Source organism: Homo sapiens, chromosome 16, assembly GCF_000001405.40.
Source record: "Homo sapiens chromosome 16, GRCh38.p14 Primary Assembly".
Taxonomy (NCBI): domain Eukaryota; kingdom Metazoa; phylum Chordata; class Mammalia; order Primates; family Hominidae; genus Homo; species Homo sapiens.
The window spans coordinates 10,184,621-10,203,069 of record NC_000016.10 but is presented as its reverse complement, the minus strand read 5'-3'; positions in this window follow the sequence as shown (position 1 = coordinate 10,203,069).

Below are 18,449 nucleotides of genomic sequence, written 5' to 3'. Positions count from 1 at the left end.
GTAGTTCCATGCCATGTGGCCTTCTCCATAGACAGTTCACACCATAGCTGTTTGCTTCTTTGGGGCTGGGAAAAAAGTATCTCTACTATGTTAAGACCAAGACTTATAAAATGAAAGGTAATCATAGGTGGAATGCCCCATCACCTCTGTCATCTCCTATTGATTAGAAGCAAGTCTCAGGTTCTAATTGCATTTACGGGGAGGGGGTTATACCAAGGTGGAACACCAGAGGGCAGAGCTCATGGGGGACAGCTGAAGATTCTGCCCACCATGGCAGGTCTGGGGCAGGCCTGTTAATCTTTATGTTAATGCACTCCTCTCCCCACCCAAGTGATTCAGATGTAGGTGTAAGGTAAAGACCTATATAGGGGACAGTGTTATGTGGTAGAAAGAATGTGAACTCTGCCTGGTGCAAAGCCTCTCACTTGGGACTTGGAGCAAGTTACTTAAATCTTGTTTTTTATTTTATTTTATTTTATTTTATTTATTTATTTATTTATTTTGAGATGGAGTCTCACTTTTGTCACCCAGGGTGGAGTGCAGTGGTGTAACCTTGGCTCACTGCAACCTCCGCCTCCTGGGTTCAAGCAATCCTCCTGCCTCAGCCTCCTGAGTAACTGGGATTACAGGCACCTGCCGTTATGCCTGGCTAATTTTTGTATTTTTGGTAGAGACGGGGTCTTACCATGTTGGCCAGGCTGGTCTCGAACCCCTGACCTCAAGTGATTCGCCCGCCTTGGGCTCCCAAAATGCTGGGATTACAGGCGTGAGCTACTGCGCCTGGCCAAGTTACTTAAATTTTATGTACTTATTATTATTTTTTAAAATTGGATTGATTGATTGATTGATTGAGACAGGGTCTCACTCTGTTGGCCAGACTGGAGTGCAGTGGCGTGATCATAGCTCACCACAGTCTCAAACTCCTGGGCTCAAAGGGATCCTCTTGCCTTAGCCTCCTGAGGAGCTGGGGCTACAGGCATGTACCACTATGCCTGGCTAATTAAATTTTTTTTTTTTTGTAGAGACAAGTGTCTCACTGTGTTGCTCAGGCTGCTCTCGAACTCCTGGCTTCCCACCTTAGCCTTTTCCCACCTTAGCCTCCCAAAGTGCTGTGATTATAGGCATGAACCATGACACCCAGCAAACTTCAACTTTAAAAGTTCAGTGCCCCATAATAGATGTAGGAGTGATCACCTTCATTATCATAACTACGCCATAGGGCTGTTTTGAGGATTAAAGGAGATAATACCTGTAGACCACCTGGAACAGAGAAGGCAATCAACAAATGTAAAGTACCATCGTGTTGTGTAAAACCTTCTCCGAGCTCAAATGGAAAGGCACCCTTCCCCCAGTCCTCCCTGGCTAGATCTGGTGCTGGTCTTTGGGACTTCGGAAGCCCCTATCACAGTCCTTCTCTGCTGATTACGTTTTCCCATTGGGCCTAGAGTGGGTTAAGGCAAGATGCTGTGCCAGTTACAACAGGCTAGGTTTAGCTACCGTAACAAACAACCCCCAAGGTTCCATGGCCTCTGACAGCAAATGTCTATTTCTTCCTCATGTTGCACATCCGTGGTGGGTTGGCAGTGCCTCTGCTCCATGCCTTCTTCACTCTGGGACCTGGCAGATGGGAGAACCTCTAAGTGGAACATTGCCAATCTCATGGCAGACGAGAGGAGAAAAGACATAGTGAAAAATGTGTTGGCTCTTAAATCTGCTGGCAAGTGACACGTGTTAGTTCCACCTGCCGAGTAGTGACCCAAAACAAATCACATGGCCCTTGTTGAGTTCAACAAGGTGGAGATCTAAAATCTTCTTGCAAGGAGGTATTCCAGAATATTTGGCAAACGGCTTTAAAATCAACCGTGGAGACCTCATAAAATTCATTTTAGGAGAAACAGTAACAATGGTGCTAAGAGTAGCAAAACATCAGGTACTGTTCTAAGTTTTTTACATAAATGAATCCATGTCATGTTATCTTCATAACAAGCCTGTGAGGAAGGGGCTATTATGAAGCCCATTTTACAGATGGGCAAGCTGAGGCACTGAGCAGTCAAGTCCCAGGTCCAAGACTGCACAGCTTAGGTGGAACCTGCAGGGCAGTGCAGCTATGATGAAAATGAAGTGGTGGACCTGGAAACAGCCACAGCACAAAATTCCCAGATCCAGTTGTTTCCATCAGGCTTCTCCCTCCTCTGGCTGCTCCTCAGTGACCTTCTCCTTTCCCAGGGGCTCTGTAGAGCTCCTCCCTCCTCCTATCACTTTTATCCAGCTTCCTAGCTGAAAATCTTGCGTTCGGACCCACTGAACACCATAAAAATGTCAATTAAGTTGATTTAAAAATGCTCCTAGTCTCATTAACAACAAACTGTTTGTGCCAGTGCAGCCAGACAGGGCTAAGAATAAATAATATGAATATTAAAAGGTTTTTGGTGTCATTAATTATCAATAATAAATTATCACTACCCCCCACCCCTTCTCTGGCTGCCAGGGATGCTTTTTTCCTGGGCAGGATGAGTTATTACTAGAAGGCTGAGATGTGGCTTTCTCATCTGCTGTGGAGAAGAAATGCAGGCACTGTAGACCAGGGCCCTAGGAATCACGGCTCTTGTGGTCTCTAGTCTGACAATCTTTTTTTTTTTGAGATGGAGTCTCACTCTGTCGCCCAGGCTAGAGTGCAGTGGCGCAATCTTGGCTTACTGCAACCTCAGCCTCCTGAGTAGCTGGGATTACAGGCACCCACCAGTACGCCCGGCTAATTTTTGTATTTTTAGTAGAGACAGGGTTTTGCTATGTTGGCCAGGCTGCTCTTGAACTCCTGACCTCAAGTGATTCGCCTGCCTCGGCCTCCCAAAGTGCTGGGATTACAGGCATGAGCCACTGCGCCTGGCCTAGTCTGACAATTTAAAATCATTAGTGTCCTGCAGCAGTGTGAACTTCTGGGGTGAGTCACAACCCAGTCCAGCATCTGACTTAGGGCAGGCGCCCTGTCAATGTTTGGTGAATGAACAAATAAATGAAAGTAAAGGCATGGGCTTACATTTGTACCTCATAGCCTGAGTGGGGCCTGGGCTCTGCTACTCCCTAGCTGTGTGACCCTAGATATGTCACTTAACTTCTCTGAGTCTCATTTTCTTCTTCTGATAATAATAGTAGGTATTAGCCAGGCATGGTGGTGTGTGCCTGTGGTCCCAGTTACGTGGGAGGGTGAGGCAGGAGGATCACTTGGGCTCGAGGTTGAGGCTGCAGTGAGCCATGATTGCACGACTGCACTCCAGCCTGGGCAACAGAGTGAGATCCTGTCTCAAAAAAAAAAATCATAGCTATCTCACATGTTGTGAAGATGAAAATAGATAATGCATGTTAGAGCTCAGGCATGTAATAAGTGCTCAGTGAATATTGGCTATCATCCTCTTCATCATCATCATTTTAATTATAATTGCAATTCTGTGGTAGAGGAACTTATGACTGCTCCATTTTATCTCCTCAAAGGAATATTCTGCAGCCATTAAAAATGATTGCATTTTTTTAATAACAAGGAAAAATGTGTATAAGTTAAGAAAAAGTAAATTGCAGAATTTTTTTTTTGAGACAGAGTTTCACTGTCACCCAGGCTGGAGTGCAGTGGCGCCATCCGCAACCTCCACCTCCCAGGTTCAAGCAATTCTCCTGCCTCAGCCTCTCGCGTAGCTGGGATTACAGGTGCCTGCCACCAAGCCCAGCTAATTTTTGTATTTTTAGTAGAGACAGGGTTTCACCATGTTGGTGAGACTGGTCTCGAACCCCTGACCTCAAATGATCTGCCCCCATCAGCCTCGCAAAAGTGCTGGGATTACAGGCATGAGCCATGGCACCTGGCGTAAATTGCAGAATTTTATGTGCCTTCTGATTGCAGTAAAGTTAAGACAATTAAAACTTGGAAGGAGATACATCAAAACATTATTGATAATTTTCTCCTAGGTGGTAGAGTTACTGTGTTTTCTTTGGAATGTTTTCTGCAACTTTAAATTTTTACAATAAACATGTTTGTTTACTATAAACATTTTTCCACGTACACAAAAGTGGAGAGACTAGTATTATGAACACCCACAAACCTATCACTTAGATTTAATGATTGTTAACATTTTGCAATATTTGTGTCATCTTTTTTTCTTTTCTTTTGGGTGAAATATTTTAAAGTTACTAACATCAGGATATTTTATCCTTAAATTTCAGTATTTGTCTCTAAAAAAATATTTTCCTACCTAACCACAGTATTATGATTACATCTGACAAAATTAAGAATAATGTCTTAAATGTTATCTAATACATTGTTCATATTCAGATTTCCCCAATCGTCCTTCAAAATGGTTGTGTTTGTGTGTTTGTCTGTGTGCTTTGAGACAGGGTCTGGCTCTGTTGCCCAGGCTAGAGTGCAGTGGTGTGATCTCGGCTCATTGCAACCTCTGCCTCCCTGGTTCAAGTGATCCTCCCAGCTCAGCCTCCTGAGTAGCTGGGACTACAGGCACGTGCCGCCATGCCTGGCTATTTTTTGTAGTTTCTGTAGATATGGGGTTTTGCTATGTTGTCCAGGCTGGTCTCAAACTCCTGAGCTCAAGCAATCTTCCCACCTTGGCTTCCTAAAGTGCTGGGATGCCAGGCGTGAGCCCCTGCACCTGGCCCTGTTTTTACAAAGGGCTTGTTTGAACCGGGATCCAACCAAGGACCACGCACTGCATTTAGCTATTGTGTCTTCTAACTCTCTTTAAATCTAGAACAATATACCTCTGCTCTTCTGTCCATCACATGGACTTGTTGAACTGACCATGCCAATTATTCCATAGATGTCCCCGCTTCTGCCTTTTGCCTTTTCTTTGTGGTTGCATTGCTCGTATAATATGAAAACAAGCAATACAAATTTGCCCCTATCATTCCTAGCCACTCTCCTGGCCATATAGACGATAATTGTAACTACAACTTCCACAAGCCAGGTGCTGTTCTAAGTGCTTTATTTTCACGATCTTATTTAACCATTTCAATAAATCCATGACATAGGGACTCTTTTTATCAATGATGGAAATGAAATACACGGGTGAAAACTTGCCAAGGCCATATAGCCAGGCAGACCAGCTCTCAAGCCAGCACACCTAACCACCGTGCCATATTGAAAGAGTAGAAAGAGAAGCTGCAAAGGAAGGAAGACAGGGAGGTCAACCCTGCCTTCCTTTGGGGATACTTAGTGAAGAGCGAAGACCAGATTCTCTGTGGGGTCCAGGGAGTGTCCTGGAGGAGGTGATGAAGTGGTGGCACCAGTGATGGCATCTGTTCTGCCGGACCATGGAGCTGTTCTGGGCCCTCTCCAGGGTTTCCTCCTGTTTCCTTTTCTTCCATTCTCCGCAGGTTGGAAAGGTCCCTAAGAAGCCTGTGCTTTTCCCTCTCTGGGCTTGAGAGTCCCTGGGTCTGCTATTTATAGGCAAATAGACATCAGAGCCAGAAAGCCGCCTCAAGGGAGGTGCCTGCATAGCTACCAGGGTGGGAGACACATGGGCCCTACCAGTGATTATATTCTTGGGTCTTCATTGATGAGCATTCTGGAAAAAACAAATATGCAGTGTGTTTTGGGAAAGACCACTGGAAGAGGTTAAGTGTGGTGGTGCATGCCTGTAATTCCAGCACTTTGGGAGGTTGAGGCGGGAGGATGGCTTGAGCCCAGGAGTTTGAGAACAGCCTGGGCAACATTGCAAGACCTCATCTTTACCTAAATAAACAAACAAACAAATAAATAAATCAGCTGGGCATGGTGGTGTGTGCCTATAGTTGCAGCTACTTGGGAGGCTGAGTGGGAGGATCACTTAAAGCCAGGAGTTTGAGGCTGCAGTGACTTATGATTGATTGCGTCACTGCCCTCTAGCCTGTGCGACAGAGCAAGATGATCTTGTCTCTTTAAAAAAAAAAAAAAGATAGAGAAAACACTGGAAGAGAAGTTAAAACACCCAGGTTCTTAGCTGGATTTGCCTCTGCTATGGACAGGCTGTGACTTTGGCCAGGGCACCCAGCTTCCCTGAGCCAAAGGACCCTCTAAATCATGTTGGATTTAAGGCTGACAGCTGTTTCCATTGTAAGGTTGTTATAAGGATTATATGAAGATAAGAATGGAAGTGCTTTGCAAAATAATGAGAGAAATAGAAAAGCTTCCCTTTAGGGTATACTGCAGAAGTTGCAAATTCAGATGTGCAGACTGGCTAGGTAGGTAATACATGGTTCCCATGAGAGCTGCTGTGGTCTAACATGGCCCCATCGCAAAGCCATGGCTGATTGGTCATGGAGTTGGCAACTGGTCTACACTAGGCCAATGAATCCCCACCTTGGGATTTTTGGACTTGGGAAGGGAGGGCAGTCAGTCATTCTTTCCCGTGGGTTTAGGTCTAAACTGTGAAATAGGAAGCATTAGTATGAATGTTCCCTGAGTGTGGAGTAAGACAGTTTGTGAGGGAGGGTGAATGCAGCAAGCAACTGAAAGCAAAAGAGGGGGAGAGAGAAGTGAGACCCAGACTCCAGCTGTTCTTGGAGTCTAGCTGCATCCGTGGGATTTGACCATTCAACCACAGGTTTGGCTTCTCTGAGCCAACTATTTCTTATTTTTGGCTTAAACCTCTTTGGGATTTTTTTTCTACCATTTATGTCTAGAAGAGTGTCTTGTATTAGGCAATAGGACACTCTTAGCAGTCCAAAGAAGGGAAGAGCTGGAGTGAAATTAGCTGGGTACGGTGGCATGCGGCTGTAGTCCTAGCTTGAGCCCAGGAGTTTGAGGCTGCAGTGAGCCATGATTGTGCCACTGCACTCCAGCCTGGGTGACAGAGTGATACCTTGTCTTAAAATAAAATAAATAAAAATAAAGAGACCCAGCAAGTTAGTGACTTAGGCAGCTTAGAGAGCACCTCCTAATCCTTCCACCTCAGTTTACAACTAAAGTTCAACATCATCAACTACCTTGTCTCAGGTATCCAAATGATATGGTTTGGCTCTGTCCCTACCCAAATCTCATCTTGAATTGTAGCTCCCACACTTGTGGGAGGGACCCAGTGGTAGGTAACTGAATCATGGGGCAGGTCTTTCCTGTGCTATTCTTGTGACAGTAATAAGTCTCACAAGCTCTGATGGTTTTATAAAGGGGAGTTGCCCTGCACAAGTTCTCTTCTCTTGTCTGCTGCCATGTGAGACGTGCCTTTCACCTTCCACTACGATTGTGAGGCCTCCCCAGCCACGTGGAACTGTGAGTCCCTTAAACCTCTTTCTTTTGTAAATTGCCCAGTCTTGGGTATGTCTTTATCAGCAGTTTGAAAACAGACTAATACACCAAGTAAGTGAATTGGTGGCAAAACCAAAACAAGAAATCAGATCTCCTGACTTCCATCCCAGGGTCTTTTTCACCTCTATGATTTGCCTCTTTTTATATCTGGGCAGCATATAATCACACTGCATTAAAAAAACAATAACTTTTACTATTTATTGAGTACACATTAAGTTTCTTCCTGTATAAGACAGTTGCATTACCTTAATAGTAACCCAGTAAAGAAGCTCTTACTGTTCTCATTTTGCACAGTGGAAAACTGAAGTTCAGAAAGGTGAAGCAACTTGCCTAAAGTCACGCAGCTAGTAAGTCATAGACTCAGGATTCAAATTCAAGTGGCCTGACTCTTGAGTCCTCCTGTTTAATTATGATACTCTGCACCATCTTTGGCTTTCTGCTCTAGCACGAGTGACAGTGCCCATGCACTCTTTCAAGCTGGGACCTTGCTGAGTCTTTGAGTGAGACGGAGAAGTCCTAAGAGATCTGTCATTTCCTGCACTTCTTGGCTACTGGCATGGGAATATCGTTCTCAGACTTGTGTTATTTACCCAAGAATTTGCAAGGCTGCACCTTGCTTAAGTAGCAAACACCTCTGCAAATATGGATGGGAAATTGGATTTGCTTATGCGGGAGTGGAGAAGCCTTCAAGTATTCTTGGAAAAGGGGTTGGTGCAAACATGCATGGGTGCCAAAGATGCTCAGAGTTGATTGGGTTTCACTTATCAACACAATGGGGGAGGAAGGAATTCTTTTTCAAAAAATTAGCTTTACTGAGGTATAATTGCATACAAAAATAACTACACATGTCTAATGTATACAATTTGATGAGTTCAGATTTATGTACATACCTATGATGCCATCACCACAATCAAGGTAATAAGAGTCCCATTCCTCTGATGGATGGGACTCTTTTTTGTTTTGTTTTGTTTTTTAGAGATAAGGTTTCACTCGTCACCCAGGCTGGAGTGCGGTGGTGCAATCACGGCTCATTGCAGCCCCTAACTCCTGAGCTCATGTGATTCCCCTGTTCCGCCGCTTAGCCTCCTGAGTAGCTGGGACCACAGGCATGCACCACCACATCTGGCTAATTTTTTAATCTTATTTTTTGTAGAGTTGGTGAGGGCGAGGGGTCTCACTGTTTACCAGGCTGATTTTGAACTCCTGAGCTTAAGCAATCCTCCTGCTTTGGCCTCCCAAGCTGTTGGGATTATAGGCATGAGCCACTGCTCTCGGCCAGGGAAGGGGACTTTTGAAGTCTCTCTGCACACTCGGCTTTGGTGCTTATAAACAGAAACTCTGCAATGTGAGGGGCAGAAATAGTTAAGTAATGTTCATTCCACACCCACAAAGATCTGGCAAAGGGCAGTCTACTCCAAACTGTAGACTTCTGATCACCTGTGATAGAACCACCTGGCGAGGCTTGTTAAAAATGCAGGGTATTGGTTATTTATTGCTGTGTAACACATTGCTCCAAATTGTAGTGGCTTAAGACAACAGCAACTAGTCTCCCAGTGAATCTTCAACTTGGGCAGAGTTCACCAGGACTGCCTTTGCTGGGTCAGCTCAACTGGGGACTGGAGGATTCTCTTCTGAAATGACTCACTCACAGGGCTGGCAGGTTGGTGTACTTGTTGGTTGGGAATACTGCCGGGGCTGAGGGCTGCGGGCCTTGGTTCTTCTCTATGTAAGGCTCTCCATAGGATGCTTGGGCTTCCTCACAGCATGGTGGCTGGGTTCCAAGAGAACAAGGTACAATTATGTCGCACTTTTCTAATATACATCTCTGCTGTACTATATTGGTTGAGGGAGTAAAAAAGGCCCACCAAGTTTCAAGGGTTCATAAATTCATCCTCTTGATGGAGAAGTGACAAGATTCAGGAAGAGCATGTGGGATGGGAAGTATTATTGTGGCCAGCTTTGGAAAATACAATCTGCCACATAGCAAATTCCCATGACCCCACTGCAGAGCTGCAGGATCAGAATTTATGGAGGCAGGGGCAAGGAATCTGCATTTCAATCTCTTCCATATAATTTCTGTTGACCACTAAATTTTGAGATTCCCTAAGTGAGGATTGACATGCAACCTCCATAAGACAGTGCTAACATAGCATGTAGGTGTAGCTGACTGGAAGCCAGAAAACAGGCTTTTGTCCTGGCTAGGCAGCTGGATTCCTGTGAGACTTTGGGAAAGTAACTTACTATTTCAGGGTTCATTCTCCTTAGCTGTAATAATTATACACAGCTCAGAGGGTCATTCTCAGGACTAAATACTACGAAACCCAGAATATGCTTAGCCTAGTACCTGTTGCAGAGTGAGTATTCAATGAATAGTATCATACTCAAATGACATTATTATGACTGCTAAAGTCTTTGTAAATTTAAAGTGCTCTTTTATTATGATTATCATAGCTACTGTTTGTTTACAGCTCTCTCAGTGCGAAGCCCATTATTACTTAGAATTTGCAGGTGTCACTAACCCCATTTCACAGAGAAGGAAACTGAGGTTCAAAAAGATTGAATGAGTTGCCCAAGGAATGGGAGGAACTAGGATTTGAACTGATTGTAATTTGGTTCCAAAACCCCTACCTCTACCATATCACTCTGTCCCTTGCTATGTGATAACAGAAGCCATTTTAAAAAATTAAATCTGTCTTATTGCCTCATCTTGAAAATGAGGTTTATAACACCTTCTGTGCCAGAAGGTTGGTGTTGGGTTTTATTGTCCTTCTAATATCTTGTCTTCTGAGACAGTGCTGAGATCCACCCCGGTGGTTAAACCCCTGGCTGCTGGCCTCCATTGGTGGTGGTGGGAATGCAGTTCTGGGAGCCAGAGAAGAGAGACGCTTCCTATCCCCTCCCCATTCAATGGAGCCCCATCCACCTGCCAAAAACCAATGTGACCATCTTGCAAGGAGGCAGTAGCTTCCTCACAGCCTGATAGCTGTGACATTATGAGGCTCAGTGGGTTGAACTCCAGAAGCTTAAGCTCAAATCCCAACTCTACCACTTAGTACCAGTTCAACCTTGGGTAAATACTTAGGGAGCACTTTACCACTCTGGGCTTCTGTGTCCTCCACCATAACAAGGGGATACCAACTCCAACCTTGTGGGTTTGCTCTGAGGATTAGATGAGCTCAAGTAGGACAGGCATCTAAGAAACGATTTGGTACACAGAAAGTTGGGTGTGTTTTGCTGTCATGGGGGGCCGTCAGCCCCTTGCAGACAGCTGGATCTCTTTCAACTTGTAGAGGTGGATCAAGTCAGGCAGAGTGTAACTCTGGGGGCTCAGCCCAAGGCCCTGCCATGGCTGTGGGGGCTCATTCTTCTTTGCTTCCCATTGCAGTTGTTGGTTGAACTGTGCCCTGACACCTGGGGGCACACCCAGACACACACGAGCACACCCACTCACTACTCTCTACCATCTCAGCTTTTTACTCATTCTTTAAGCAGGAAGGTAATATATGTGCATGCCAAAAACAAATCATGCCTCACAGTGAGAAGGAATCCACCGTCTTTTACCTGTCTCTCTCCACTTTCTCCCAGTCACCTGTGTTCCCTCGCTGGCGGCAGCCATGATTGCTAATTCCTTGGGTATCCTTCCAGAGATATTCTACGCATAGATAAGCATATAGGTCACTTTCTTAAGCATATATTGCTTTTTGTTTTTTCAAATAAAGTTTTTATTTTGGAATGTTTTTAGATTTATAGAAAAGTTGCAGGGATAGTACAGTGACTTTCTATAAACACTTTGCCTGGTTTTCCCTAACGTTAACATCTTACACAATGCAGGTAAATTTGTCAAAACTAAGAAACTAACACTGGTACACTGCTGTTGACAAAACTTCAGGCTTTATTGGGATTTACAGGGTTTTCCACTAATGTCCTTTTTCTGTTCCAAGACTCAATTCAGAATCCCACATTGCATTTAGCATATATGCTTTGTCATTGATGGAAATTACACAATTCCTTCACCCTTTTGCAAAGAATAAAACAGAAACAAAACCCCAAAAGACCACCACAACAAGTCCCACGAATACCTCACTCAACCAAAAGGGCTGTGAACGTAATAATTCCTACCATTTATTAAAAACTCAATTTACACAAGATGTTTTATCTAATTTCATTCTCACAACAACCCTGATTTTGCAGGCAAGGAAATTGAGGCCTACGAGGGTAGAATGACATGCCCACAGTCACCCAGCAAGAGAGATGGTGCAGAACTGAGGTCTCAGCCAGGTCTGTTGGCTCCCACATCTGGTCATTGAACTAGTCTTTCTTCTTCTCCCTACACCCTGAATCCTTGGGCAACTTTGCCTAATTAAGAGAAATGCTTTTATGCAATTTGGATCTGACCGCTGGACTTGGTGACAATTTATTTTGTGGCTTCTTACTACAAATGGAGTTCTTTTTTAGGAACAGTGACTCTCAGAGGGCAGAGCCAGGAATTTTAATTGGGTGAGAGGCAGCAGTGAGTAGCAGAGTGAGTACCAAGTGGCAAGTCAGAAAATACCTATTTCAATGCTAACCTGCTCTGTGACCTTGGGCATTCATATCAATGCTAATTAATCATAATAATCACCTTTACCTATTGATTTCTTATTATGTATCAGGTGCTATGCTAAGCAACTCGTGTGCATCACCTGATTTAATGTTCTCAGCAATTTTGTGGGAGAGGCACAAGGAATCCCTCATTTCTTTTCTTATTTATTTATTTATTTATTTATTTTTATTATTTTTTGTTATACTTTAAGTTCTGGGATACATGTGCAGAATGTGAAGGTTTGTTACATAGATATACGCGTTCCATGGTGGTTTGCTGCACCCATCAACCCATCATCTACATTAGGTATTTCTCCTAATGTTATCCCTCTTCTAGCCCCTTACCCCCCGACAGGCCCCAGCATTTGATGTCTCCCTCCCTGTGTCCGTGAGTCCCCCCATTTTATAGATGAGGAAACTGAGGCTGCACCATGCCCAAGGCCACACAGATAGGAAGAGGTCCATCACAGATTTGAACCTGGGCAGAGGGGCTGCAGAGCCTGTATTTTTGCTACTGCTATAATACCAATACAAATATGAATGTCCTACTGACATAGGGAATAGCTAATATTTATTTTCTACGTGGTGCACATGATTCCAATCACTGTGTGCAATATATCATCGAGTCCCCACAGTGACTCTATTAAGTCAATACTATTATTTCTATTTTTTTTCAAATGAAGAAACTGATTTCTTATTTGTTCAGTGAAGCAGTCATTTCCTTTCTGCTCCATGGTTGTTTTCTAAGAGCTGTCACTTTCAGAAAAAGGGTTGAGACAGGCAAGGACTCAGGTAATGTGGAGAAGGGGCTGACTTTTGACTAAGTCCCTCCGTCTCCCTCTCACAGAGAAGCCGTGGGAGCCATAGGAGCTTGGGGAGGCGGCCGGACTAGTGCCTCACCTGCGCCTTCTCTGGAGGCTGGAGGCACAGTCCGAGTTCCCTGGGGCTGGCCATGCCTGCTGTCCATCAGTCCAGGCTGGGCAGGCTGCCTCCTTGGCAGAGCAGGCTACAGCTCAAGGCTCCTGAGCACTGTGTGGCTCAGTGAACTGTGCGGGGAAGGGAGGCTGCCAATATGTCACTGGCCAGCACCCCCATGGGCACCATCTGGGACGCACTGAGCTGGAGAACTAGGCCTGACCAATGGCTGCCCCCTCTGCCCTGCAGACCACACCTTCCTGAACATGCACCAGGAGCACTTGGCCCAGGAAAGGTATCTGAGCATCAGGGGACAGCAACATCTCGGTGGAACCCTCAAGGGCCCTATAAGACAATAATAAGCATACTAATAACTGATATTTATTAAACCCATGCTATTACTGGGCACTATGCTAAATGTTTTATATGTATTGCCTCTTTCAATTTAGCCCTTAGAAACCCCTAAATGGCAAGTACTGTTACTATCCCCACATTATAGATGACGAAACTGGAGCACAGACAGGCTGAGAGATCTACCTAGTATCAAGCAGCCAGTAAGTTTCAGAGCCAAGGTTCAGATGCTATTTTTAAAAGCCTGGTTGTCCGTGATGAGTCCTGGATTCTAATCTTTGCTCCATCTCTAACTGATGAGTAATTCTGTTCAGTCTCTTGCTCTTTCTGGTCCTGTTTCTTCTTCTGTGCCACACAGAGATTGGACCACATTTTCAAAATGTGTTCATCAGAGTCCCAGAGTTCTGTGATGAGCTTTGGTGTGAGTGGGAGGGAGGCTAGGGGTGAGAAGTTAAGGAGCATCGGACTCCAATCTCTTACCCACCTTTTCACCCGAGATCAAAGCTTCACTTTTAGCTGCTTCCTGTACTGGGGCAATGTAGGGGAGTTCGCTTATGAAAGGGGCTCTGCTGATTGAGGCAAGCTTAAACACAGGAATTGCTAATCTGACATTCTTGCATCCTAAGAGTGAAGAAAAACGAGCCCGAAAGATGTTAAGTGACCTATCTAAAGAGGCCCGGCAGGCTGGGCACAGTGGCTCATGCCTGTAATTTCAATACTTTGGGAGGCTGAGGTGGGAGGATTGGCTAGAACCTAGGAGTTCAAGACAAGCCTGGGCAACAAAGCGAGACCTCATCTCTACTAAAAATATTTTTAAAAAGCAGTGGTTCATGCCTGTAATCCCAGCATTTTGGGAGGCTGAGGCGGGTGGATCGCTTGAGCCCATGAGCTTGAGACCAGCCTGGGCAACATGGCAGAACCCCATCTCTACAAAAAGTACAAAAAATATAAAAAATTAGCCTGGCGTGGTGACATGTGCCTGTAGTCGTAGCTATTTGGGAGGCCGAGGTGGGAGAATTGTTTGAGTCCAGCAGGTGGAGGATGAGGTGAGCCAAGATCAAGCCACTGTACTCCAGCCTGGGTGACAGAGTGAGACTGTCTCAAAAAAAAAAAAAAAAAAAAAAAGCTGGGCATGGTAGCATGCACCACCTGTAGTCTCAGCTACTTGGGAGGCTGAGGCAGGTGGATCAGTTGATCCCAGGAGTTCGAGACTGTAGTGAGCTGTGATGATGCCACTGTACTCCAGCCTGGGAGACAGTGCAAGACCCTGTCTCAAAAATAAATAAATAAACAAGTAAAATAAAATAAGAAAAATAAAGAGACCCAGCAGGTTAGTGACTTCGGCAGATAACATCAAATTGGTTCAGACTGCAGGTTCTGGAGCCAGACACAAATGGGTTCAAATCCTACCTCTGCTAATTACTAGTCGTTGGGCAGAGTCAGCTCGTGACTGGTAGACCAGGCCTGTTTTACTACCACTAAATGCTCTCAGTAAGATTGCTAATGTCCTGAGTCATTTTTCTGATGGAGAACTCAGTAAATGACTCATCTTTCCTTCCCCTCTTCACCCCAATCCCAATTCCCCTCCCAAAGAGCACAGGGCACCCAAATATCTTTTGACCTGCCCAGCTATGCTGCATATACCAGGGGCACCCAAGGACAATCACCTCTTGAAGAATAATTTGCTGTGACTTTCTACCTGGCAACCTCTACTGGAAGTCACATCCAGTGGAGGAGTCTGTGTTCATGAATAGGAAAAGGGCTGTGCTTGTGACCGGAATGTATGAAAAAGAGACCATGTGTGACCCTTAGTAGCTATGTGACCTTCGGTGCCTTGTGCCTTGGAGTCTTTTTTTTTTTTTTTTTTTTTTTTTTTTTGAGAAGGAGTTTCACTCTGTCGCCCAGGCTGGAGTGCAGTGGTGCGATCTCAATTCACTGCAATCTCCATCTCCCAGGTTCAAGCGATTCTCCTGCCTCAACCTCCTGAGTAGCTGGGACTACAGGCACATGCCACCATGCCTGGCTAATTTTTGTATTTTTAGTAGAGACGGGGTTTCACCATGTTGGCCAGGCTGGTCTTGAACTCCTGGCCTCAAGTGATTCGCCTGCCTCAGACTCCCAAAGTGCTGGGATTACAGGCGTCATCCACCGTGCCTGGCCATAGTCCTCATTAGGAAAAAAAAAAAAAAAAGCAGCATTGGGGGTTGGTTTGATCATCGCCAAGGGCCTCCACAGTTTCAAGATGGCATGCCTCAATGATCCCAGGTACCAGGAAACATGACCTCTCTCCTTAGCATCCAGACATTTCCCTGAGACGCTTTTCCCATAGGCACAGACTCTGACAGAGTATCTGTGGAGTGAATGATGAGACTTTTGGGCACTCCTGGCCTTGGGAAGTTGGCCTGACATGGTCTGACTTCAGGGCCATCAAAGCACTGTCTTGAGGGACTGCTCTGACCAGTCACAGCTGAGTGACAGAGATTAAGTTGGAGCCAGCTTCCCTGTGCAATGGTGAGTGAGCCTACAAGAAAGACATTTCCTACAGGAGACGCCTGGCTTCCTCTGGACATGGAAGCTGCCCTCCTATGGTGAGTGTGAGAAGGGGCACCCAATGTGCTTCCTCTTGGGGTGCAGCGGTGTGGCCGGCCCAGGTATGTGGAAGAGCTGCTCCTTGTTCTTTCACTTAGAGAAGTCTTTGTCGGTTCTGTTAGCCAGGGTTCTCTAGAGGGACAGAACTAATAGGATAGATGTATATATAAAGGGGAGTTTATTTTATTTTATTTTATTTTTTATTTTTTTTGAGACGGAGTTTTGCTCTTGTTGCCTAGGCTGGAGTGCAGTGGAACAATCTCAGCTCACTGCAACCTCCGCCTCCCAGGTTCAAGTGATTTTCCTGCCACAGCCTCCCAAGTAGCTGGGATTACAGGTGTACACCACCATGCCTGGCTAATTTTTTGTATTTAATAGAGCTGGGGTTTCACCATGTTGGTCAGGCTGGTCTTGAACTCCTGACCTCAGGTGATCCACCCGTCTCGGCCTCCCAAAGTGCTGGGATTACAGGCATGAGCCACCGTGCCCAGACTAAAGGGGAGTTTATTAAGGAATATTGACTCACATGATCACAAGGTGAGGTTTCACAATAGACTTCAAGCTGAGAAGCAAGGAAGCCAGTCCGAGTCCCAAAGCTGAAGAACTTGGAGTCCGATGTTCCAGGGCAGGAAGCATTCAGCCCCAGGGGAAAGATGGAGGCCAGAAAACTGAACCAGTCTAGTCTTTCCATATTCTGCCTGCTTTTATTCTGGCTGTGCTGGCAGCTGATTAGACGGTGCCTACCCAGATTGAGGGTGGGTCTGCCAGTCCACTGACTCGAATGTTAATCTCCTTTGGCAACGCCCTCACAGACACACCCAGGAACAATACTTTGCATCCTTCAATCCAATCAAGTTGATACTCAGTATTAACCATCACAGTTGATATAGCTGCTATGAAGAAGTTTTTCTTATCATCTGAAACTCTTTGAGCAGCAAAATTCTGCTTAGCATCCTAAGCTGCATTGAGAATTAAGCTTGGCAGCATAGATGGAGTAAGGCTGTCATGATCTTATACACGCTGTCACAGTCTCTGCATGTATGGTGAAGTTCCAGGTGCCTGACACACGATGTGCTCCACCCTGGTGACATGTCCACCCCAGTGCAACTCCAGCCTCCTGTGCCTATGTTTAGAGGCACAGTGTCCCTTCCAATGAAGGGCTGCCTTCTTTCTCTATTCAAAAGAGGCCGTATCAGTTTGATTTATCTTTCTATAAGTCTGATCATGAATAACTTAAAACCCTGAATACCAGTATTTTTCAAGAAAGACAAATCCAATTTCAGGGTCAGCATCAATTTATGAGAATAGCAAGTGCAGAGGCATCATCAGAATCCCCTATGGATCTAAAATAACTGTCCGTGCTTGGCCCCACACCTGGAGATCCTGATGGAGTAGATCTAGAGTGGGCATAGGCATCTGTGTTTTATTTTCTTTATTTATTTTTTTTGGGACAAAGTCTCACTCTGTCACTCAGGCTGGAGTGCAGCAGTGTGAACACTTGGGTTGTCATCATGTTGCCCCGGCTGGTTTCAAATTCCTGGGCTCTCATCATGTTGCCCAGGCTGGTTTCAAACTCCTGGGCTCAAGTGATCCTCCTGCCTTAGCCTCCCAAAGTTCTGGGAGTACAGGCGTGAGCCACTGCACCCAGCCACATCTGTATTTTAAAAAGTCCCATAGATAAAACCCACATATCCATTGCAGGAGACTGGATACACAAAGTGTGGCTTATCCATGCAATAGAGAGCTAGCTGCTCAACAATAAAAAATAAAAAAGCTGTTGATACATGCAACAACACAGAGGAATCTTCTAGACATCAGGGTAAGTGAAAAAAGCCAGTCACCAAAGAATACATAGTGTAAAATTCCACTTATATGAAGTTCAGAAAAGGGCAAAACTAATACATGGTATTAGAAATCAAAATTGTAGTTTACACTGAATGGGGGGAGTGGGATTGACAACAAAGGGACACAAGAAAACTTCCTGGTGGTGATGAAAATACTCTGTACCTCATTTTACGTGACGGTCTATGTGGATACACACAATCTCAAAAGTAACAAACTGGCTGGGTGCAGTGGCTCACACCTGTAATTTCAGCCTTTGGGAGGCCAAGGCCAGAGGATTTCGTAAAGACAAGAGTTTGAGACCAGCATGGACAACATAGCAACACCCAATGGCTACAAAAAATAAAAAATTTGCCAGATGTGGTGGCATGTGCTAACCACCACAAGTCCTAACTACTTGGGAAGCTGAGGCAGAAGGATCACTTGAGCCTAGGAGTTCAAGTTAATAGTGAGCTACGACCACACCACTGCACTCCAGCCAGGGCAAGAGTGAGACCCTGTCAAAAAAACAAAACAAAACAAAACAAACAAACAAAAAAATAAAAAAACACCAAAAAACCTTCACAAATGAAACCCTTGAGAGATATGCATTTTATTGTCTATAATTTATAACTCATTTAAATAAAATGGCCTAACTTCCCCTTTAGACCCCAAGCCAGAGTCTTGCATGGGTGCCAAGGAGTGGCCTAATCAGTTCAGCCCAGCCATAGACTCAAGAAAGGAAACATTTTCCTGTTCCCTGCCTTATATTATACAATCCCCCATTTTAATTTACTTTCCAGCATTTCCCTCACGCTTTCTCTGTCTTTTGGATTAAAAAAAAAACAAAAACAAAAACCCAGGAAACCCAGCATAGAACAACCAGCTCAATAATGAATCCATTTGT